Source organism: Homo sapiens, chromosome 1, assembly GCF_000001405.40.
Source record: "Homo sapiens chromosome 1, GRCh38.p14 Primary Assembly".
In the NCBI taxonomy this organism is placed as follows: Eukaryota; Metazoa; Chordata; class Mammalia; order Primates; family Hominidae; genus Homo; species Homo sapiens.
The window spans coordinates 213,531,367-213,549,607 of NC_000001.11; the positions used below are offsets into that span (position 1 = coordinate 213,531,367).

The following is an 18,241-nucleotide window of genomic DNA, read 5'->3' on the forward strand; positions in this document are numbered from 1 at the left end:
TAATGTGACAAGCACCTACTCTGTGTCAGGCACCACCCTAGGCACTTCACTTATGTTGTCCAATTTCATTATTGTAACAATCCAAGGAGACAGGTGTGGTTACCCCCATTTTTAGAGATGAGGAGCCTACGGCACAGGTAAGGTCAGTAACTTTCTCAAGGTCAGTGGGTCAATAAATGGAGCTCAGTGACATAACCAGTTCTGCCTGACTGGGAGCTAATCTCTTGTCCTTGCTAGAAAACAGCAGTTCTCCAGGACAGCTGGACGAGCAAGGAAGCGGAAGCCTCCTGATGACTTAGACATATCAAAGTTTAAAACATTTTGGGCTATCAGTGGAAAGAAGTTTCCTAAACTCAGCATGGCCTTCTCTTTTCCTCTTTTCTCTGGCTTAGAGATAAGGCTGTGTATGTATTGAATTGTACCTGTGCTGCGGTTTCCCAGCTGGGCACCTTTCCTTGAGTGGGCACAGACTAACATTAGAGGACAAAGAGCCACTGAGCAATTCCAGTGCTGGACCCAGGTATGGGTCTGAAACTCGCTGACCAAATCTCCCTAAGTTCTATCTGTCCCCACAAGGAAACCCAAAGAGGCTGGTGCTTGGAGAGTGTCATCTCCCCCTACCCTCGTTCCTAGCTCGAGTATGCTTTTCTTGGCACTGGAGAGTCAACAGGTGTGAACAAGTGTACAGAGACCTGGCATGCCAGGGCTAGCAGCGCTTACGGCCTTCACTCACAAGAGATGGCAATTGCCCCCTTCTGCAGGCTGCCCATCAAAACACATTGTTGCCTGGCACCTCCATAGGCTCCAACCAACTTGGAGCGGGCACCAAGCCATCCCAGCAGATGGGCAGAAGGGGTGGGGAGCGGCCAAGGCAGCCCCATCCTGAAGGTGCATAAAGTGATGGTGGTGAGGGTTTGATTTCCAACTGCGGATGCATTAGGATAACTCTCTCCATCTTAGATTTATAGGTCAGGAGTTACAGGGGGAGGGGCTTACGGTTTAGCCCGCACCCAGCTGGCTGGGTTTGTTTTTCTGTGGAAAAAAAAGTCACTTGGAACCCATCAGAATATTGTGGCTTTGACTTTCAGGGCCTTAAAAGTAATTTGGGAAATCAGGGAACAACACTGAAGATAGTAGGAGATAAAGAAGGACAAGAAAGGATCCTAAAGAGGTTTCTGCTTACTAAGAACCGTCTTCCTCCCCGTTCTCCACTGCACCCCAGCTATGCTAACAGCAGACTAACAGAATCCTCCCTGCCACCAGGCCAGGCTAATCAAGGTTGAGAGCATGGCTGGAGCCCTTGCCATGGGTGGTTGGTAACACAAGTGAGCAGTTATCTCAGAGCTAGGAGCAGGCTCCTTGCCGGCCTTCAGAGGGGGATGTGCAGTGTCCCATTGCCCAAGCAACTGCGTCATGGATTTGGGAACTCAAGGGGGTGATTGTCAGCATGTGCCACCGTCTTGAGAGAATCACCTAGGCCTGGCCTACAGGTACTGTGGGGAACACTGTTGAGGTGGGGAACAGCCATGCAAAGTCTCCAAGAGGGGAAAGTGTGTCCCAGGAGCAACTAATAGGCTATCTGGGGAGAGCAGAGGGAGAGTGAAAGGAAGTGGGAGAAAGTGAGGCCCAAAAGGTGTTACACAGGACCCTAATGCCAGCCTAGGGAAGTTCAGGCTTCACTTGACAGGCAGTGGGAGCTGTGGAAGGTTTTTGAGTACAGAGTGCTTCGATCAGAGCTCTCCCTGAGAAATTAGGAAACGGTGGCAACATGCAGGAAGAGCCAGAACCAGGGAGTCAGGGCTCAGGGGCTGCCATGATGGTGCATGCCAGACTGAGTCCAGCGGCAGTGGGAATGGAAAGAAAAGGTGAGTGGGAAGTCCTTCACTAGGATGCACTGATGACTGACTTTGACTGACTTGGACAGAGGGAGGAGCAAAAGAAGACTTTTGAGGAACTGAGAGAAAAATGGGGCCATTAACAGAGAAACAAGAATCAGGAGGTTCTGGCTTGATGGAAGGTCTTTCATGTGGGTTGCTAGAATCAATATGGTACATATTATTTTGTGCTATTATTTGTGGGTTCTTGTGATCTAGGCCATTCCTGTCTCTCTGGAAGGAACATGGATAACTGTAACTTTCTGTAGTGGTTTATTATTCTCACAAGGAAACTAACGTTCCTGGTAAATGAGAACACACAGAACTCTCCCAGGCCTGAGCTTCAGCTGCCCCATTGTATTTCTGTCCAAAGTACATTCTTCACTTTCATACAAGGTTTTTTGGACTACCCTCACTTGAAAGCCAGCCTCTTGTTTCCCTGAAACGTTCTCTCCACTTCCACACGTTGCTATAATCTTTTGGTTATCATGTTGAATAATTTACAGTCTCTGCCAGTCTGAAATTACATGTGGGGCTGCTCTGTTTGTGGCCTACCCAGCAATTAGCTATACACCATTTTATCACTGCAATTACACTGCAAAGGGAGAAAACAGTCCAGCCATTTGTCCCAGGGGAAGCTGAGGAATAACAAAGTCTCAACACTGTGTGCCTAGAGGGGGCCAGTCGATCAAGGAAGGGACCTGGAATGGCACTGAAGGTCTCATCCAGGCAGACTCCTTCCCTGTTCTATGATTTGCCCACCTTTCTTGTATATGTTCTTTGGCAACCACAGAATCTTTATGATCTCTTTCCAGGATAGCAAATAGGTTTCATTTCTTGCATAAACTCTGAAAAACTGACAGTGGCTGCCTGGAGTATTGTCTTGGAAAAGAATTTTAAGCTTGTGACTGGACTCAGTGGAAGGCAGTGCTGTGATCAATTAGTGATGTCTGTCACAGACAGCGAATGGGAAAGGAGTGAATGCTGTGTATCTGAAGTCTCTTATCCAGGTCAAGCCTGACTTTTAAAAGATGCAAAATTTAAGGCCTGGAAAAACACAGAGACTTATTGAAGATCATAAAAGCTAACATGAATGTTTAGTATGTGCTAGGGAGTATTCTAAACACTTCCTATATAGTAACTCATTTAATCCTTACAACACCCGCTTGGTGTTCATCCTCATTTGATAGATGAGGAAATAGCCACAGAGAGGTTACCAGGCTTCCTAAAGATAGAGTAGAAAAAGGAGCAAGTTTTCAAATCCAGATAGGCTGAGGTAACCTGCATCCTTCAACCACTGCTCTTCTGCTGGTGTGCAAACCACACAGCTCCTTAGCAATGGGGCCCAGAACTCAGGTCTCCTGATTTCTAGCCCAGAGTTCCTTCCTCCCATGGAAATATGAACTGATATGCTTCCCAATGCTAAAAACTTGGGAGAAAAACAAAAAAGAGCATTAAGAGATGAACAATTTATTACTTAGGATATGCCTGGCACTGTGCTAGGAGTTGAGCAGTCAAAAATAAGTATTATTCACTGTCCTTAAGAAGCTCTTACTTCAGAATAGAAAAGGCTCTTCTCAAGTTCCACTTCATTTGTAAAGTCTTTGCCCGCTACAGCTACCCTGATTTCAGAGCCTGCTGGTAACATTCTCCTCTTCCATGCTCTCAGCGTCACTGCCACCTCCTTCTCCCCAATCATGGTTAATCCTACGATTAAGTTCGCACTGAGGACATACTATATCAACACTGAGAAGAGTTCTAAGGTACCCTACAACCTACTGACACTGCAAACTACCTAGTGGCTTGGCATCAGGGGGATTTGTGCATTTTGCATTAAGAAAGCCGATCAGCTTAGGTCAAGCAGGCTCCATATGGAGGTTCATTTTATTAATTCCTCTTTAGACATTGGGCCCATGGCTGTGTTACCAGTTCATTTATTTATACCACATCTCTTTTCAGGAAGAATCTGAAGTGGCCATATACAATAAGATGAGTGGAGCAGAATAAAACTAGAAAAATCTTGGCTGAGACAAAGAGAAGGCAAATATTGCCAACCACACAGGTTAAAACAGTTGTGATGCAGCAATACGTTTGGTGTTGAGTTTCCTAGTGGCCAGAAAAGAACGGAAAGCAGAGTAATACAGCTTTCATTCTTGGAAAGGAGAAAGCATAATAACACTGCAGGGTCCCCCACCTCATCTAAGTCTAGAGACATGTATTCATCATATCTGCCTGGGGCCCTGGGAGCCCCTCAGTCTGATTTCCTCTGTGGCTTGTCCTCAGTGCAGTATCTCTGCAGATTACCTCCCTCTGACCCTTACCCCACTGGAGTTTTCTCTTAATAAAACAGGTAATCCCCAGGGTATATAGAATTCAGGGTTGTTGATTTGTGGCTTGGCAATGTCTTTGAGGAGGCAGGTTCTTCCCATCTTTCTGCTTGGCCATTCTTAGAGCTGGCTTTCTCCTGGCCTGGTCACCAAAAGGGCTGCAACAGCTCCAGGTAACCACTCACAACATGCCCAAGGAAGCCAGAGAGACCGTCTCTTCCTGTGGCTCTCTTTTAGGCGCGAGGAGTCCCCCTCTTGTGTCGTTGGCTAGGATCAGGTCACATGCTCATTCCTGAACCAATCACTGTGGAATAGGATTGCCCTTAGACCAATCTGAGAGCTGGGGGTGGGGTGATAAGAGGCTCCTGGCTGCCTGGGTTTACTAAGCGAGAACAAAGCTGAGGTTCTTTTGGCCTGGAAGAGGAGGGAAATGGAGGCCGAGAAGGCAGCCAATAGTGTTCCCTTCACTTGTCAAATACTATAAACACTTTTTTTTTTCCAGTCTGTGTTTTAGGAGGCATCTGCTAGAGGCATATGTACGATGAAGCCAAAGAATCTGGCAGATAGTTCTGAACGTTCCTATCAAGTTCAGGGTTATAAAAAATGATACAAAGTGTTTCGGCCCTTCAGGTCTGTTTATGCTGCATAAAACGGAGTAAATGATCCAAAGCGGGTGGAGGATGCTTTTAAAGGGAAAAGCCTAAAATAACAGCTCCCCTTTTGAAGGTTTTGTTAAGTAATACCTTCTGGGGGCTCAGTGTTATTCTAGGCACTGGACTGACAGTGGAGGAAAAGATAGTGTCCCTTCTATTACGGAATTTATGCATTGGGCAGACAATCAGCAAATAAGTAAATGAGCAAAACAATTTCAAAGCATGCTAATGAATATAAACTGCATGAGGACAGAGGTGTTTAGTTTGTGGTGCATGGTTTCCAGTGCCTAGGACAACACCTGGGGTATAGTGAGCCTTCAGCAAATACTGAATAAATTAACGAACAAAGACCAAGACAGGAAAGTGGGGCAACCTCATCCTACCTTGATAAAAGGTGAGCCGTTGAGTGTGTGTGTTTATACCTTGGGCCTGGATGGCAGAGGGTTGGGTAAGAACAGATTGAAAGCATACGAGAGCTAGCTGCCATCTTCTTTCCTTCTTGACATATGCAGCCTTTGCTCCAGTGCCCCCAACTGGGAGGCTGGTGTTGTGCCAAACCCCTGTTAACCTCAATAGGGAGGCACCAGGTTCAAGAGGCTGAAGAAAAGACCCAGAGCCAGCGAAGGAGACATGGCGTTTTATTAGGGGCTTACATACAGGGGAGAGCCCAGTGGGGGGCGGGCTGAACAGGAGAACCACCTGATATACAGAATTGGTCCGGTGGTGGTGGGCTAGACATGATATCTGCGTTCCTACAATTCATTGGTTGTAGGCTGGACAACATATCCACCTTACATATGGTGCAGTGGCAGTGGACTGGACAGACAAGCTGCAACTGCTTGCAAAGAGCATGCAATTTATATAATATTTTCACTTCAAACCCTCCCTTTAATGGCCTCCACCTGGCAACTTCATATAATCCAAATCTCAGGGCCTCCATTCTCTGTAAGGCCGTGCTCCTTGCGATAGGCAGGGGCTCAGATGTTCCTCATAGACAAAGAGTGAATCTCTGGGTTGGCCACTCCTGAATTCCCTAGTTTGGAAAACATTTTCAGGTGGGAGTCTGCCATACAGGGCCAATCCATTCTAAGGCTATACTTAAGTTATTGCCACTGGGAGCGTTTACCCTGCAGCTGGTTTGCTTAATTGGAAGGGGGTTGGACTTGAGAGTTGGAACGCTGGCTGTAACCTTAATCTTGGCATACTAGCTGTGTGTTGGCCAATTCTCTGAGCCTCAGTTTACTTGTTTGCAAACAAACCTGGGATAATAACACTCATGTCACAGGTGTGTTATGAAGACTCAATGAGACACATTATGTGACAATGCCTGCTGCTTGACACAGAAGCCTTTATAAAAATGGTCCTTTTGTCCCCTCACCTACCAGGAGTCTGAGCTAGAGTCCCAAGTGAGCTTCTTTCCTCTTGATATTGTAGAAGTCATCACAGCCTGGTGGTAGTCACCCAGAATTCTAGGCCCACAGGGAATGTGGGTGTGTGAGTTTGTGGGCAAACTGGCTGCTGTGTTTGGGGGCAATTAGATATATACCTCTGGGAGCTTCCCATAACTTTCATGCTTAAAAATGTTCTGACTGCTTGAGATGTTTAGATTATTGATGACCTGCAAATGAGGTTCCAGGTGCTTTGTATATATCTATTGGCTCTTATGAACATGGTCACTTTTTGGCTTTCTTCTTTGTTAGAAGAGATTAGGTATGAAGAATAATAAGGCAGGGACCTCATTGTAGGAGGGAAGCCTGAGTCTCTGATTTGGGGTGGATCCATCTGAAGCAAGGGAGTCCAAGGGGGAAGAGAGCATGGTCCCATCAGGAGGGACTGGAACTCCCAGGAGTCTTTCCTATCAGGACATCTGACCATTAAGAGGATAGGTCAGCTCCCTCCCAGGTCCTTAGCAGGAATAACTTCCTTCCTTTGAGAAGATCCTTGGCTCCCAGGTTTGGTGGGCCAATAAATCTCAGTTTGGTGAAATAACTGAGGAGGAAAGAAATGTCAACCCTGTGGCAAATTTGCAGCGTTAAGTCCTGGGCCCAGCATCTCCTTCAATCCTGGATGTTTTAGGATTTTTGATTATGACTCTTCTAGGACATGCTCTCTTGTTCTTTGTGTGAGAAATCTCTTATTAGGTAGTACAGAATCAGAGCCTAGCTGAGCCTTACATTGGCTTGAGGAAGACAGGAAAAAAGCCTGTCACATGATCCCACCTATGCCGAGGGAGCAGTGACTGTGGCTGTGGGTGGTGTGTGTGGTGGTGAAGAATGCCTGGCAAGAGGAAGATTTTAAGGTAGAACGAGAAAATAATTTCACAGAAGTGGTAGGACTCTAGGTGCCCTTCTAGGAAGAATAGTGTTTAGATTGCTGTAAGGATGAGGGAAAGGTGTTTCTGGAGCAGAAGGTCAGGTTGGGCAGAGGGTGCAGGTAGGAATGAGTTTGTTTTGAGGAGGGGCAGGAGGAAAATGACAGTACCCATCGAGTACGAGTTTGCTCTGTGCACTAGTACTCATCCTGCCTCTGAAGAACATGCATTTTACTGGGGGAGATAGATAGACATTAAGCAAGGCAGGAATAAGTAAAATACTTATGGGCTATAATCACCCTATACTTATTTTGAAGGAAATAAACAGGGTTCTGTGATAGAGAATGCTAGGATTGTAGTTTACAGTATGGTCTTATATTGACTATTTCATCTATACCACAAGTCTTTGATGGAGCCAGGACAGATATTATTATCCCCATTTTATAGATGAAGTGACTTTGAAAGTTGAGGTGACTGACTAAAGGACACAGCCGTTGGCTCTTTTGCAATGTTGGGTAACTGAAGATGCTCGATGAATGCCTGACTACTCATCAGGCTTCCTATTCTAGCATGCAGTCTGCATGAAGGCAGGCCTGTTTCTTTTTGCTCCTTCCTTGGGAAAACTGTCAGCTCTAGAACTCTCATCTCAACTCTTGATATCCATCCAGCTTCCTGGAGATGGGCTACCCACCAGAAGTCAGCGACCAGAGAAAACCTCCACTTCACAAATGCACATTGACACTGTAAGCAGTGGAATAAATTGGCCTGTTTTCATTGCAGAAAAATAAGCATATTCTGAAATGATAGAAGCTCCCCGTCAATTAGGGAAATTAACATCCCTCTCTGTGGTTGGTGCTATTGCTGCACTTCATTTGCCTGACCCAAAGCACAGCAGTTTCTTTTTCATGAGCCGTTCCAGTTGGAAAGTAAATAGGATTTTTGGGGTCTTCTTTCTGTGGGTCCTGCTCCAGACTGGGCTCTCAATTCTGCCTGTGGTGTCCTCACAGAGTGAGATGGGAGGCAGATGCACATTGGGGAAAGTTGCGGTTGTGCTATTTGGAGCAAGTAATAATAGACATAGTAAAGCACAAATTAAGAATTGTTCTTGCACAACATGCCCAGCTGTCTCTAGTGAGGAACAGCAGGCGAGTAGATCTACTGGACTGGATCAATAAGTCCCATTGGTTAAAATGATCGGGGCAAAATGATTAAGAGATCCGAGTTTCAGTTTACTTAGTAAGAAAATACAGGCATATCTCAGAAATATTGCAGGTTCAGTTCTGGGCCACTGCAATAAAGCAAGTATCATAATAAAGCAGGTCACACACATTTTTTTGGTTCCCTAGTACGTATAAAAGTTATATTTGCACTATGCAAGTCTATTAAGTGTACAATAATATTTTGTCTAAAAAAAGATGTACATACCTGAATTAAAAAATACTTTAGTGCTAAAAAATGCTTACCATGATCTGAGCCTTCAGTGAGTCATAATATTCTTCCTGCTGGAGGGTCTTGCCTCAGTATTGATGGCTGCTGACTGATCAGGGTGGTGGTTCTGAAGGTTGGGGTGGCTGTGGCAATTTCTTCCTTTTTTTTGTGAGATGGGGTTCTTGCTTTGTCATCCTGGCTAGAGTGCAGTGGTGCAATCATAGCACCCTGTAACTTCAAATTCCTGGGCTCAAGTAATGTTCTTGCTTCAGCCTTCTGCCTCAGTTTCCCAAATAGCAAGGACTACAGGCTATTCTTGGATAACTTTTAAAAAGTTTTTTAGAAACAAGGTCTCACTATGTTGTCCAGACTATGTGAGCAATATTGATTGATTGATTGATTGAGTCAGGGTATCCCTCTGTCACCCAGGCTGGAGTGCAGTGGTGTGTTCTTGGCTTACTGCAACCTCCACCTCCTGGGCTCAAGTGATCTTCCCATCTCAGCCTCCCGAGTAGCTGGGACCACAGGTGCATACCACCATGTCTGGCTGATTTTCTTTTTTGTAATTTTTGATAGAGATGGGGTTTTGCCATGTTGCCGACGTGGGTCTTGAACTCCTGAGCTCAAGTGATCTGCCCACCTCAGCTTCCTAAAGTGTTGGGATTGCAGGCATGAGCCACCATGTCTGGTCACAGTTTTTAAAAATAAGAAAACAATGAAGTTTTCCACATCAGTGGACTATTCCTTTCCCCAAAAATTTCTGTCTAGCATGCAATACTGTTAGATAACATTTTACCCACAGTAGAACTTCTGTCAAAATTGGAGTCAATCCTCTCAAGCCCTGTCACTGCTTTATCAACTTATTTTATGGAATATTCTATATCCTTTTTTGTCATTTCAACAACATTCCTAGCATCTTAACCAGGAGTAGATTCCATCTCAAGAAATCCTTTCTTTGCTTATCCATAGGAAGCAACTCCTCATCCATTTAAGTTTTATCATGAGATTTTGCAGCAATTCAGTTAAAGCTCCAGGCTCCACCTGTAATTCTAGTTCTCTTGCAATTTCTACCACATCCGCAGGTCCTTCCTCCACTGAAGTTTCGAACCCTCAAAGTCATCCATGGGGTTTGGAATCAACTTCATTCAAGCTCCTGTTACTGTTGCTATCCTAACCTCCTTTCATGAATCATGAATGCTGGTTGAAGAAGAGGAAGAGAGACAAGGAATTGCTGGTTAGTGGAGCAGTCAGAAGGCACACAACATTTCGCGATTAAGTTTTGCTGTCTTATATGGGTGCAGTTCGTGGAGCCCCCAAACAATTACAATGGTAACATCAAAGATCATTGATCACAGATCACCATAACAGATTTAATAATAATGAAAGTGTTTGACATATTGTGAGAATTGCCAAAATGAGACACAGAGACACAAAATGAGCACGTTCTGTTGGAAAAATGGCACCAATACACTTGCCCAATGCAGGGTTGCCACAGACCTTCAATTTGTTAAAACAAACGCAAACAAACAACAAAAACCCCATGGTGTCTGCAAAGCATAAAAATGTGAAGTCCAATAAAAGAGGTATTCCTGTATCCATAATGCTTACTGATTAAAAAAAAATCCACAATGCCTGAGACTATCCTTTGAGGAAGCTTACGTTTAATAACCACAAACCATTAAAAGCCCTGGGTGAATCTTTGAGAACACAGAGCCAAATAAGATAAAGGACACATATTCAAGGAGTGCTGTGTCTAGTGGGAGAGACAGCTGTGTGGAGACTAGGAATGGTATATGACCCATTGCACAAGCTGTGTGTGAGCAACATGGGCCAGTGCTCCATGAACAGATGGCATGAAAGGGAGGGCCTGGGCAAAACTTTACTGGAAAGGTTACCTTTGAACATGTGCTGCAGGCTAAGCAAAATTTGCCAGGTGGAGCAGGGAATCTCCAGTTTTGGGGCCAAAGCTTCGTGGAGGAGTTCCTGAGCCTAGAGTAGGTTGTGTTCTTGAGATTTCTCCCTTAGCCCTCAACTTTGGGACTTTGTCTTCTTCCTTTCCACCTTGTTTGCCTCCCTCTGTGGATAGGGAGACACGATTTAATACATTTCCGTTGAGAATGTTGAAAGATCAGGAGGAATAATTGATCCACTTATAAAAGTCTCCACATGAGGACAGTGACTCTGTGGCACAGCATCTCCTTAGCAAGTCTACGGGAGGCATTGCTGATTAACTTGGTATGTTGTCTGCTGAGCCCTGACTCAGCCCCTAAATCTTTCTTACCACAGTGTTCCAGGAAGCTTCCACCAATCCAAGTCACCAGGTGAGGGAAAAGTTATTTGCTATGTCCATTCCAGTCAGTCTTCATTGATCTTGTTGGGCATACATGTCCTGCAGGGAGCAGAGTCCCCCTCCCGCTGGGGGAGAACAAGGACAGAGCCAGTGTCCCCATCTTCAGAAGGATGGGACAGGCCATTGCAGTGAGTGGTACAACACAGGTGGCATCCCCAGAAGTAGAAACTCCTATCTCCAGCTTTGGTTGTGTCCTTTCTCTCTCAGTGTATGCTGCTCTTTCTCTCTAAATTTTTGACTTTGAGTCCTCTTCATTCTCCATGTGTGAGGCATCATGAGCTACAGAGATGATGAGAGGTAAAACATGAAAAAACTAGGCATACTTTATAACTTAAGAGTCCCTTACTGTCTGAGTCTTAAGGGTTTCTTAATGTCTTGAGAGCAACAGGGCAAGCATTCAGGACATAGTTAAGAAAGTATACTATTTCAACAATGTGCATAGATTCTGTAGTAATTTTTAACACCATATAATAGCGATTATTTTGAATGCTATTTACTAGGTAATACATGATTATGTGCCAGCATGAACAGGCAGTTAAATCCCACAGGTAATTCACTGGAAAGATATAGCTTGGGTCTCCCAAATTTCAGGTGAGGAGAGGGCCACGCAAACCAGCCCTTATGCTACAGTGGGACAGGAGCTTTGCTAAAGCTCTCTGTAAAGGAGAATGAGGAGCAGGGACAACTGACCTGGGGCAATAGCTGGGTGACTAAGATTTGTATGACCTTCAGGAGAAAGGGACAGCAAATAAGCCAAAGAGGAAAGTGAGAATGGCCCATTCAGGACTGCAATTCATTCACATGGGTATAGCCACGGGAGCTGGAAAGTGGTTACGGATGAGCCTAGAGATGCTCATAAATGACGCTGAGTCTTGTTGAAAAGCTGGGTTGGGCTTGGCTGTGAGGACAGCAATGAGCTGCAGAAGTAGGGGAGCAAGGAAAGGTGTGATGGTATCACTGAGGCAGCAGCCAAGGATGGATTGGAGGCCAGCGGCACGGAGTCCTTTTAGTGACCCAGATGCTAAACAAAGGTAGAGGCAACAGGGGAGGAGGAGGAAGAATTTAAAACACAGGAAGACAGAAGACAGGGCAGGATCTGCTAACAGACTCTTTTGGGGCTATGTGGGAGGGAGAACTCACCCATGTCTTCCAGATTTCCAGCTTAGGTTGGGATTTGAACAGGGAGGAAGTATTCAGATTGAGGTGATGGCTAATAATTGGGGTTAGGAGGATCCTTAGAAGATTGAAGCCCAACTTCCTGCTTTTAGTCACCATCCATGCCAAATTTAAAGCATCCAGGATAAACGCGGATTTATTCCATTTAAAAAGTGTAGCAGAAGAGATCATCCCTTTTGTCTTCCTTGGGAAACCATCCCAGTTCAGAACAATTCACCCAATAAAGAATTGCTCTATCCTTGAGTCCACTTTACTCGGCTAGAATTTTTTGAGATTATTATGTATAAGTTACTTCAGGGTTCCAGTCTTTTTTCCTGTTCCTGTTTTCTTTGCTTCTTGCAGACATAGAGTGTAGACTTGGCTTAGGGATGGTCGTGACAGGAAACTCCAAGGACACACTTTACAAAAGATCTAACTTAGCTGCTAAACTTTCCAGCAGCACTAGAATGATTAATGAAGGGCTAAGTAACCCATTTCAGTGCATTATTTTCTGGCAGACACTAGTTCATCATCTGCAGCATATCCAACAAAACATCAATGCACACACACTCAAAGAGAAGGGCAAGGTGTGGAAAGAAAAAGAAAGAAAAGATGATAAGCAGAGGAGGAGGGGAAGAAGAGAAGGAGAAGAAGAAAGAAATGGAAAGAAACAGAGTAAAAACATATCACATAAGGTTAAGTGGAAGGATGGAAGGACTGACCTGAGAAAGAGCAGAAGGGAAGCCTGCAGAAAGTGAAGGCGAGAGAATCCTTCTGCTGCAGGAGGTAGGGAGAGGGCAGGGTGGTACTTGTGACCCAGGATGGCAGAGTGAGGTCAAGGATAGAGTAAGGACAGACTCCAGGAGACATTTGGCTCATGATTACAGCTCTAGCAATAATGTTATTCCACAGATTACTAGGGGTGACTCTTTATACACTTTTTATATACAGGAATTTAAAGATACAATGGCTAAGCAAAAATAAAACCCTAGAATGTGTCTCTGTTGCCATTGCCAGCTCAGGGCATGCTGTGGCTGTTTGCTGGAGGTCCAGGATCCAGTCATCCTTCCGTGGCCCCTCTGTGTGTTCCCTCTTGGCACCTTGGCCTATCTCCCTGCCATGGAGCTACATATAGGTTATCCTTGCACACCATGTTTTTCACAACATACTTTGTCCTGGGTTCTGAGGAGCCTTTGAGTTTAGGCTTTGCTTGCATCTCATGGTGGCCCTTTCCTCCTCTGGTGTCAGCCTCCTGACCTGCCACTTCTGCACTGTGGCTCTCAGAAAGCTTATGTGGCCCCCTTTACTATTCACCTTAGAGGGTCTTCTCTGTTTGGAAGGTGTTCTCCTTTGGCCTCCTCTCTCATTCCTTCTTGACCTAGTCTTTCTGTCTCCAAAGAGAACATTGGAAGAGCAGTGGAGCAAAGTCAGAAGAATGTGGCCAGTTCATCAGCATCACACTTGGTATCTGAGTGTTTGAGGACTTTGTGGCAAAGCACCAGAGACTGGGTGGCTTAAACAACAGAAGTGTCTTCTCTCACAGTTTTGGAGGCTGGAACTTCAAGGTCAAGGTGTCTATAGGGTTGGCTCTTTCAGGGCTATAAGAGAGAATCTGTTTCAGCTGGGCGCTCTGGCTAATGCCTGTAATCCCAGCACTTTGGGAGACTGAGGTGGGCGGATCATCTGAGGTCAGGAGTTCGACACAAGCCTGGCCATCATGGCGAAAACCCAGCTCTATGAAAAATACAAAAAAAACATTAACTGGGTGTGGTGATGGGCCCCTGTAATCCCAGCTACTCAGGAGGCTGAGGCAGGAGAATCGCTTGAACCCAGGAGGCGGAGGTTGCAGTGAGCTGAGATCGGGCCACTGCACTCCAGCCTGGGAGACAAGAGTGAAACTCTGTCTCAAATAAATAAATAAATAAATAAATAAATAAATAAATAAATAAATAAAATAAAATAAAATAAAAGAGAGAGAGAGAGAGAGAATCTATTTCAAGTCTCTCTCCTTGGCTTGTAGATGAGTCTTCTCCCTGTGCCTCTTCACATTATCTTTCCTTTGTGAGTGTCTGTCTCTGTGTCCAAATTTCTCCATTTTGTAAAGACACCAGTCACATTGGATTAAGGTCCACCTTCATGACCTCATTTTAGCTTGATTACCTCTGCAAAGACCTTATCTCCAAATAAGGTCTCATTCTGAGGTACTGGGGGGTTAGGACTTCAACACACTGGGGGGACACAATTCAACCCATATGAGTATCTTAGATTGTGTGGGCTCTGTGAAGAAGAGATCTGCTTCTAAGTTCTCCCACATTCTGCTCTTTCTCTATAATCAACACAGCTTCCCCCACCCACCAACTATTACCATGCTGTGCACATGCAGTCTCATTCCTCTTGTGTGTGTTCCCGGACAGCTCTGGGATGGGGGCTTCTTCCATGGGATCCCTGTAGCCATGTGCTTGATCCCAGTGAACCCTTCTTTTATTCAGGAGCGTTGTAAATGTCTCCCCTGTAATCAGGCCCAGGGCACTAGCTCCTTGATACTGGGCTAGGGTGACCATAGTCCTAACGAGAAGAGAGATGCTGCCTCCCCCGCTCACCTGGACCGAAGCCCAGAAATGGGTCGAATGTTCCTTTCTGGAATGAGCACATGAACTAAAGAGCAATATAGAAAATATACTGTTCTTTGGGTAGTAATTTATTAATTCAACAAAAATTTGTTGAGCACTTACTCTGCCAGGCACTATGCTGGGAACTAAGTGTATGGTGATGAGGGAAGCAGACATTACCTCTCCCTCATGGAGTTTCCTTTCCATAGGCACAAAGCTGATCATTCAGTGGAGTCCATTCTCACCATGAGAAGAACATTCTACTGTCAGCAGGCAGAGTGAGGATGGAGACATCACTGATTCACTTGGCTAGTTCCATGTGGGCATTCCATGTCCATGGATGAATGGATAAGTAACTGATCCACAAGAGGAGGGTAAGTTTGAAAAAGGCTTCTCATTGCATAGAGACCCAATGTATCTGTAGATAGATGTGGCTGTACCCAACATATATTATTACATTTTATAAGTATAACTAATGAGTCCTTGTGCAATATGAAAGTTTATCCTAACTTCTCTTAAGTGTATGAATTTAGAATTTTATATGTTAGGATTTTGGCAGTGTGCCCAGCTGAAGCTGCATTATTTTAAAAAAAAATTAATAGGCCTAATTTTTAGAATAGTTTTAGACTTACAGAACTATTGAACAGATAGTATAGAGAGTTCTCATGTCCTCCCCCACCAACCCTCACACCATTTCCCCTGTTTTTAACATTTTGCCTCAGTATGGTACATTTGTTACAACTAATGAATCAATATCGATACATTATTCTTAACTAAGGTCCATCATTTATTTCAATTTCCACTGGATCAATTATTTAGACCTTTGCCATGGCCTTGGCATGCACATGTGGGTCTAGCTAATGTTCTGTTACTGTCCAGGATCCCATCTAGGATACTCTATTACATTTATTTATCCTTAGGTTCCTCTCCACTGTGATAGGTTTGCAGACTTTCCTAGTTTTGAGAAATGATTCTCAAGTCTATTGTAGTATGTTCCTCTATTAGAATTTTTTTTAATTAGACTGAGGTTATGGGGTTTGGGAGGAAGACTGCAGGGGTGAACTACCATTTTCATCACATCATATTAAAGGTACCTGCTATCAGCATGATTTATGACTGTTGATGCTGACCTCAGCCATACTCTTTTAATAAATAAACTAGCATATCCAGATATATTTTTACATGTGAGTCTGACTTTGAAGCCTTACAGATTGATTTTCCTGGCTCTAGATTTTTTCATTATATTTAACATGTCTAAATGCTTCTACCTAGAAATGCCTGCCACAGGCAGTACCAATGCTGGTGAGAATGTGGAATAAAAGAAACTCTTATACAATGCTAGGGAGAGTCTCAAATTCTGCCACTATTTTGGAAAACCATTTGACGTTATCTAGCAAAATTGAAGATGTTCTGTCTCAATAACAAAAAGAACCGCTTCTATAGTATGCACCTGATGTAGTTTGGATATTTGTCCCTTCCAAATCTCACACTGAAATTTGATCACTAGTGTTGGAGGTGGGGCCTGATGGGAGGTATTTGGGTCATAAGAGTAGATTTGTTATGAATGGTTGTCCTCTTGGTTGAGAGTGAAATCTTACTCTGTTAGTTCCCTCAAGATCCAATTGTTGAAAGGAGACTGGCACCTGCTTCTGCCTTTTTCTTCGTCCTTCCTCTTGCCATGTGGTTCCTGCTCCCCTTTACTTTCCACCGTGAGTGGAAACGATCTAAGACTCTCACCAGAAGCAGATGCTGTTGCCATGCTTCTTGTACTGCTGGCATAACTGTGAGCCAAACAAATCTCATTTCTTTACAAGTTACTCAGCCTCAGATATTCCTTTATAGCAACACAGACTAAGACAGCACTCTAGAGAAATACTGGTATATATGCACCAGGACATGTGTACAAGGATTTTCATAGAAGTGTCGTTGGTATAGTAAGTGCCAAAAAAGTAGAATTAGTCCTCATATCCACCAGAAGTGTTAGGTTGATGCAAAAGTAACTGCAGTTTTTGCAATTAAATTTGCAATTAAATAGAATGCATAAACATATTGTGGTGTATTTACATGATACCAAGTTACAGAGCAGCAAAAGTGATTCAACTACAGCTCCTTTCAACATGGTTGAATCTTACAGATACTGTGTTGGGCAAAGAAATTTTAGAAAGCAAGTTAGAAGACATCTCATTTATAGAAAAGTATATAAATAAATGAATTTCTCATTTATAGAAAAGTAGAAAAAATAGGCAAACCCACACAATATATTTTGTAGTGATACATGTGTGTGTGGTAAAACTATAAAGAAAAGCAGGCTGGGAGTGGTGGCTCACGCCTGTAATCCCAGCACTTTGGGAGGCGAAGGCAGGCGGATCACGAGGTCAAGAGATCGAGACCATCCTGGCCAACATGGTGAAACCCCATCTCTACTAAAAGTACAAAAATTAGCTGGGCTTGGTGACGCACACCTGTAGTCCCAGATACTTAGGAGGCTGAGGTGGGAGAATCGCTTGAACCTGGGAGGCAGAGGTTGCAGTCAGCCTAGATCGTGCCACTGCACTCCAGCCTGGCAACAGAGCAAGAGTCTGTCTCAAAAAAAGAAAAAAGAAAAGCAAAGAAATGGTTAATATAAAACATGGATAATGGAGTAAGAAGTAGGATTGGGATGAGGAGGGACACACAGGTATTAGTAATATTGTATGATTTAATCTATATGGTGGGCTCATGGGAAATCATTTTATTATAATTCTTGGAACTGTACATATATGCTTTATATACTTTATTGTATTCAATATATATTTCCTAACTTTTAAAAATACAAAGCCACATAAGAATTGTAAGTTAAAGTTAACTAGAAATAAAATACTGTTAGAGCAAATCAATGTAATCCTGTTTATGGGAGGGAAACTCTCATGAACTGTGAGATCCCCTTAGCCTGCATCTGTCTTGCTTGCTCCAGCTCCTACCACAAAGGGAGGCTGAATACATGCTTCTGGTGGCTCCATTTCCCCCAGTGGGAGTCCCCCAAAGTCCCTGGGCTCAGGAGATAGAATGTGCCTCCTGAGTTTATGATTATCCCTCTTTACTTAATTTTTATGTCTGTGGTGCAGTGAATCCAAAACTGACTGGGGCATGACCTCTGGGGTGCAGAAGGCAGGGACCCCTCAAGCAATGGATCACCAGGGCCAAGAGAGTCTTAGGTGGTGGAGGAAGGCCCTCGGTGGAGAGAGAAATCACTCCAGATGGACTAACCAAGGAAGGCTCTTGGACCAGCAAGGATTTTAGCTGGATTGTAAATTATTGGTTGTTTTAGATGAACAGAGGATTGAAGGGTCAAAATCCTTTTGATATTGTTTACTTCTTTGTTTTCTCTTTTGGGTCATGTCCCTTGCTAAGGTCAGTCATTATCAGAAGGAGTATAAAGAAGGGCCAAAGAAAAATGTTCCCTGTTCTCTTCTACCTTTTAATTCATCAAAGTAGGGCAAGAAGGAGGCAGGCATTTTTCTTTTCTTTTCTTCTTCTTCTTCTTCTTCTTTTTCT

At 44.1% G+C, this 18,241-nt stretch overlaps 1 protein-coding gene across 1 annotated transcript in view; it reads left to right on the plus strand.

Moving 5' to 3' along the window:
- The window catches only part of RPS6KC1 (ribosomal protein S6 kinase C1), an 811,495-nt gene that overhangs the window by 480,126 nt on the left and 313,128 nt on the right, over positions 1 to 18,241 (plus strand). Inside the window, exon 17 of the transcript XR_007058661.1 lies at positions 14,917 to 15,081. The gene's annotated coding sequence lies outside the window, so the exon portion shown is untranslated. The remainder of the gene's footprint in view (positions 1 to 14,916; positions 15,082 to 18,241) is intronic.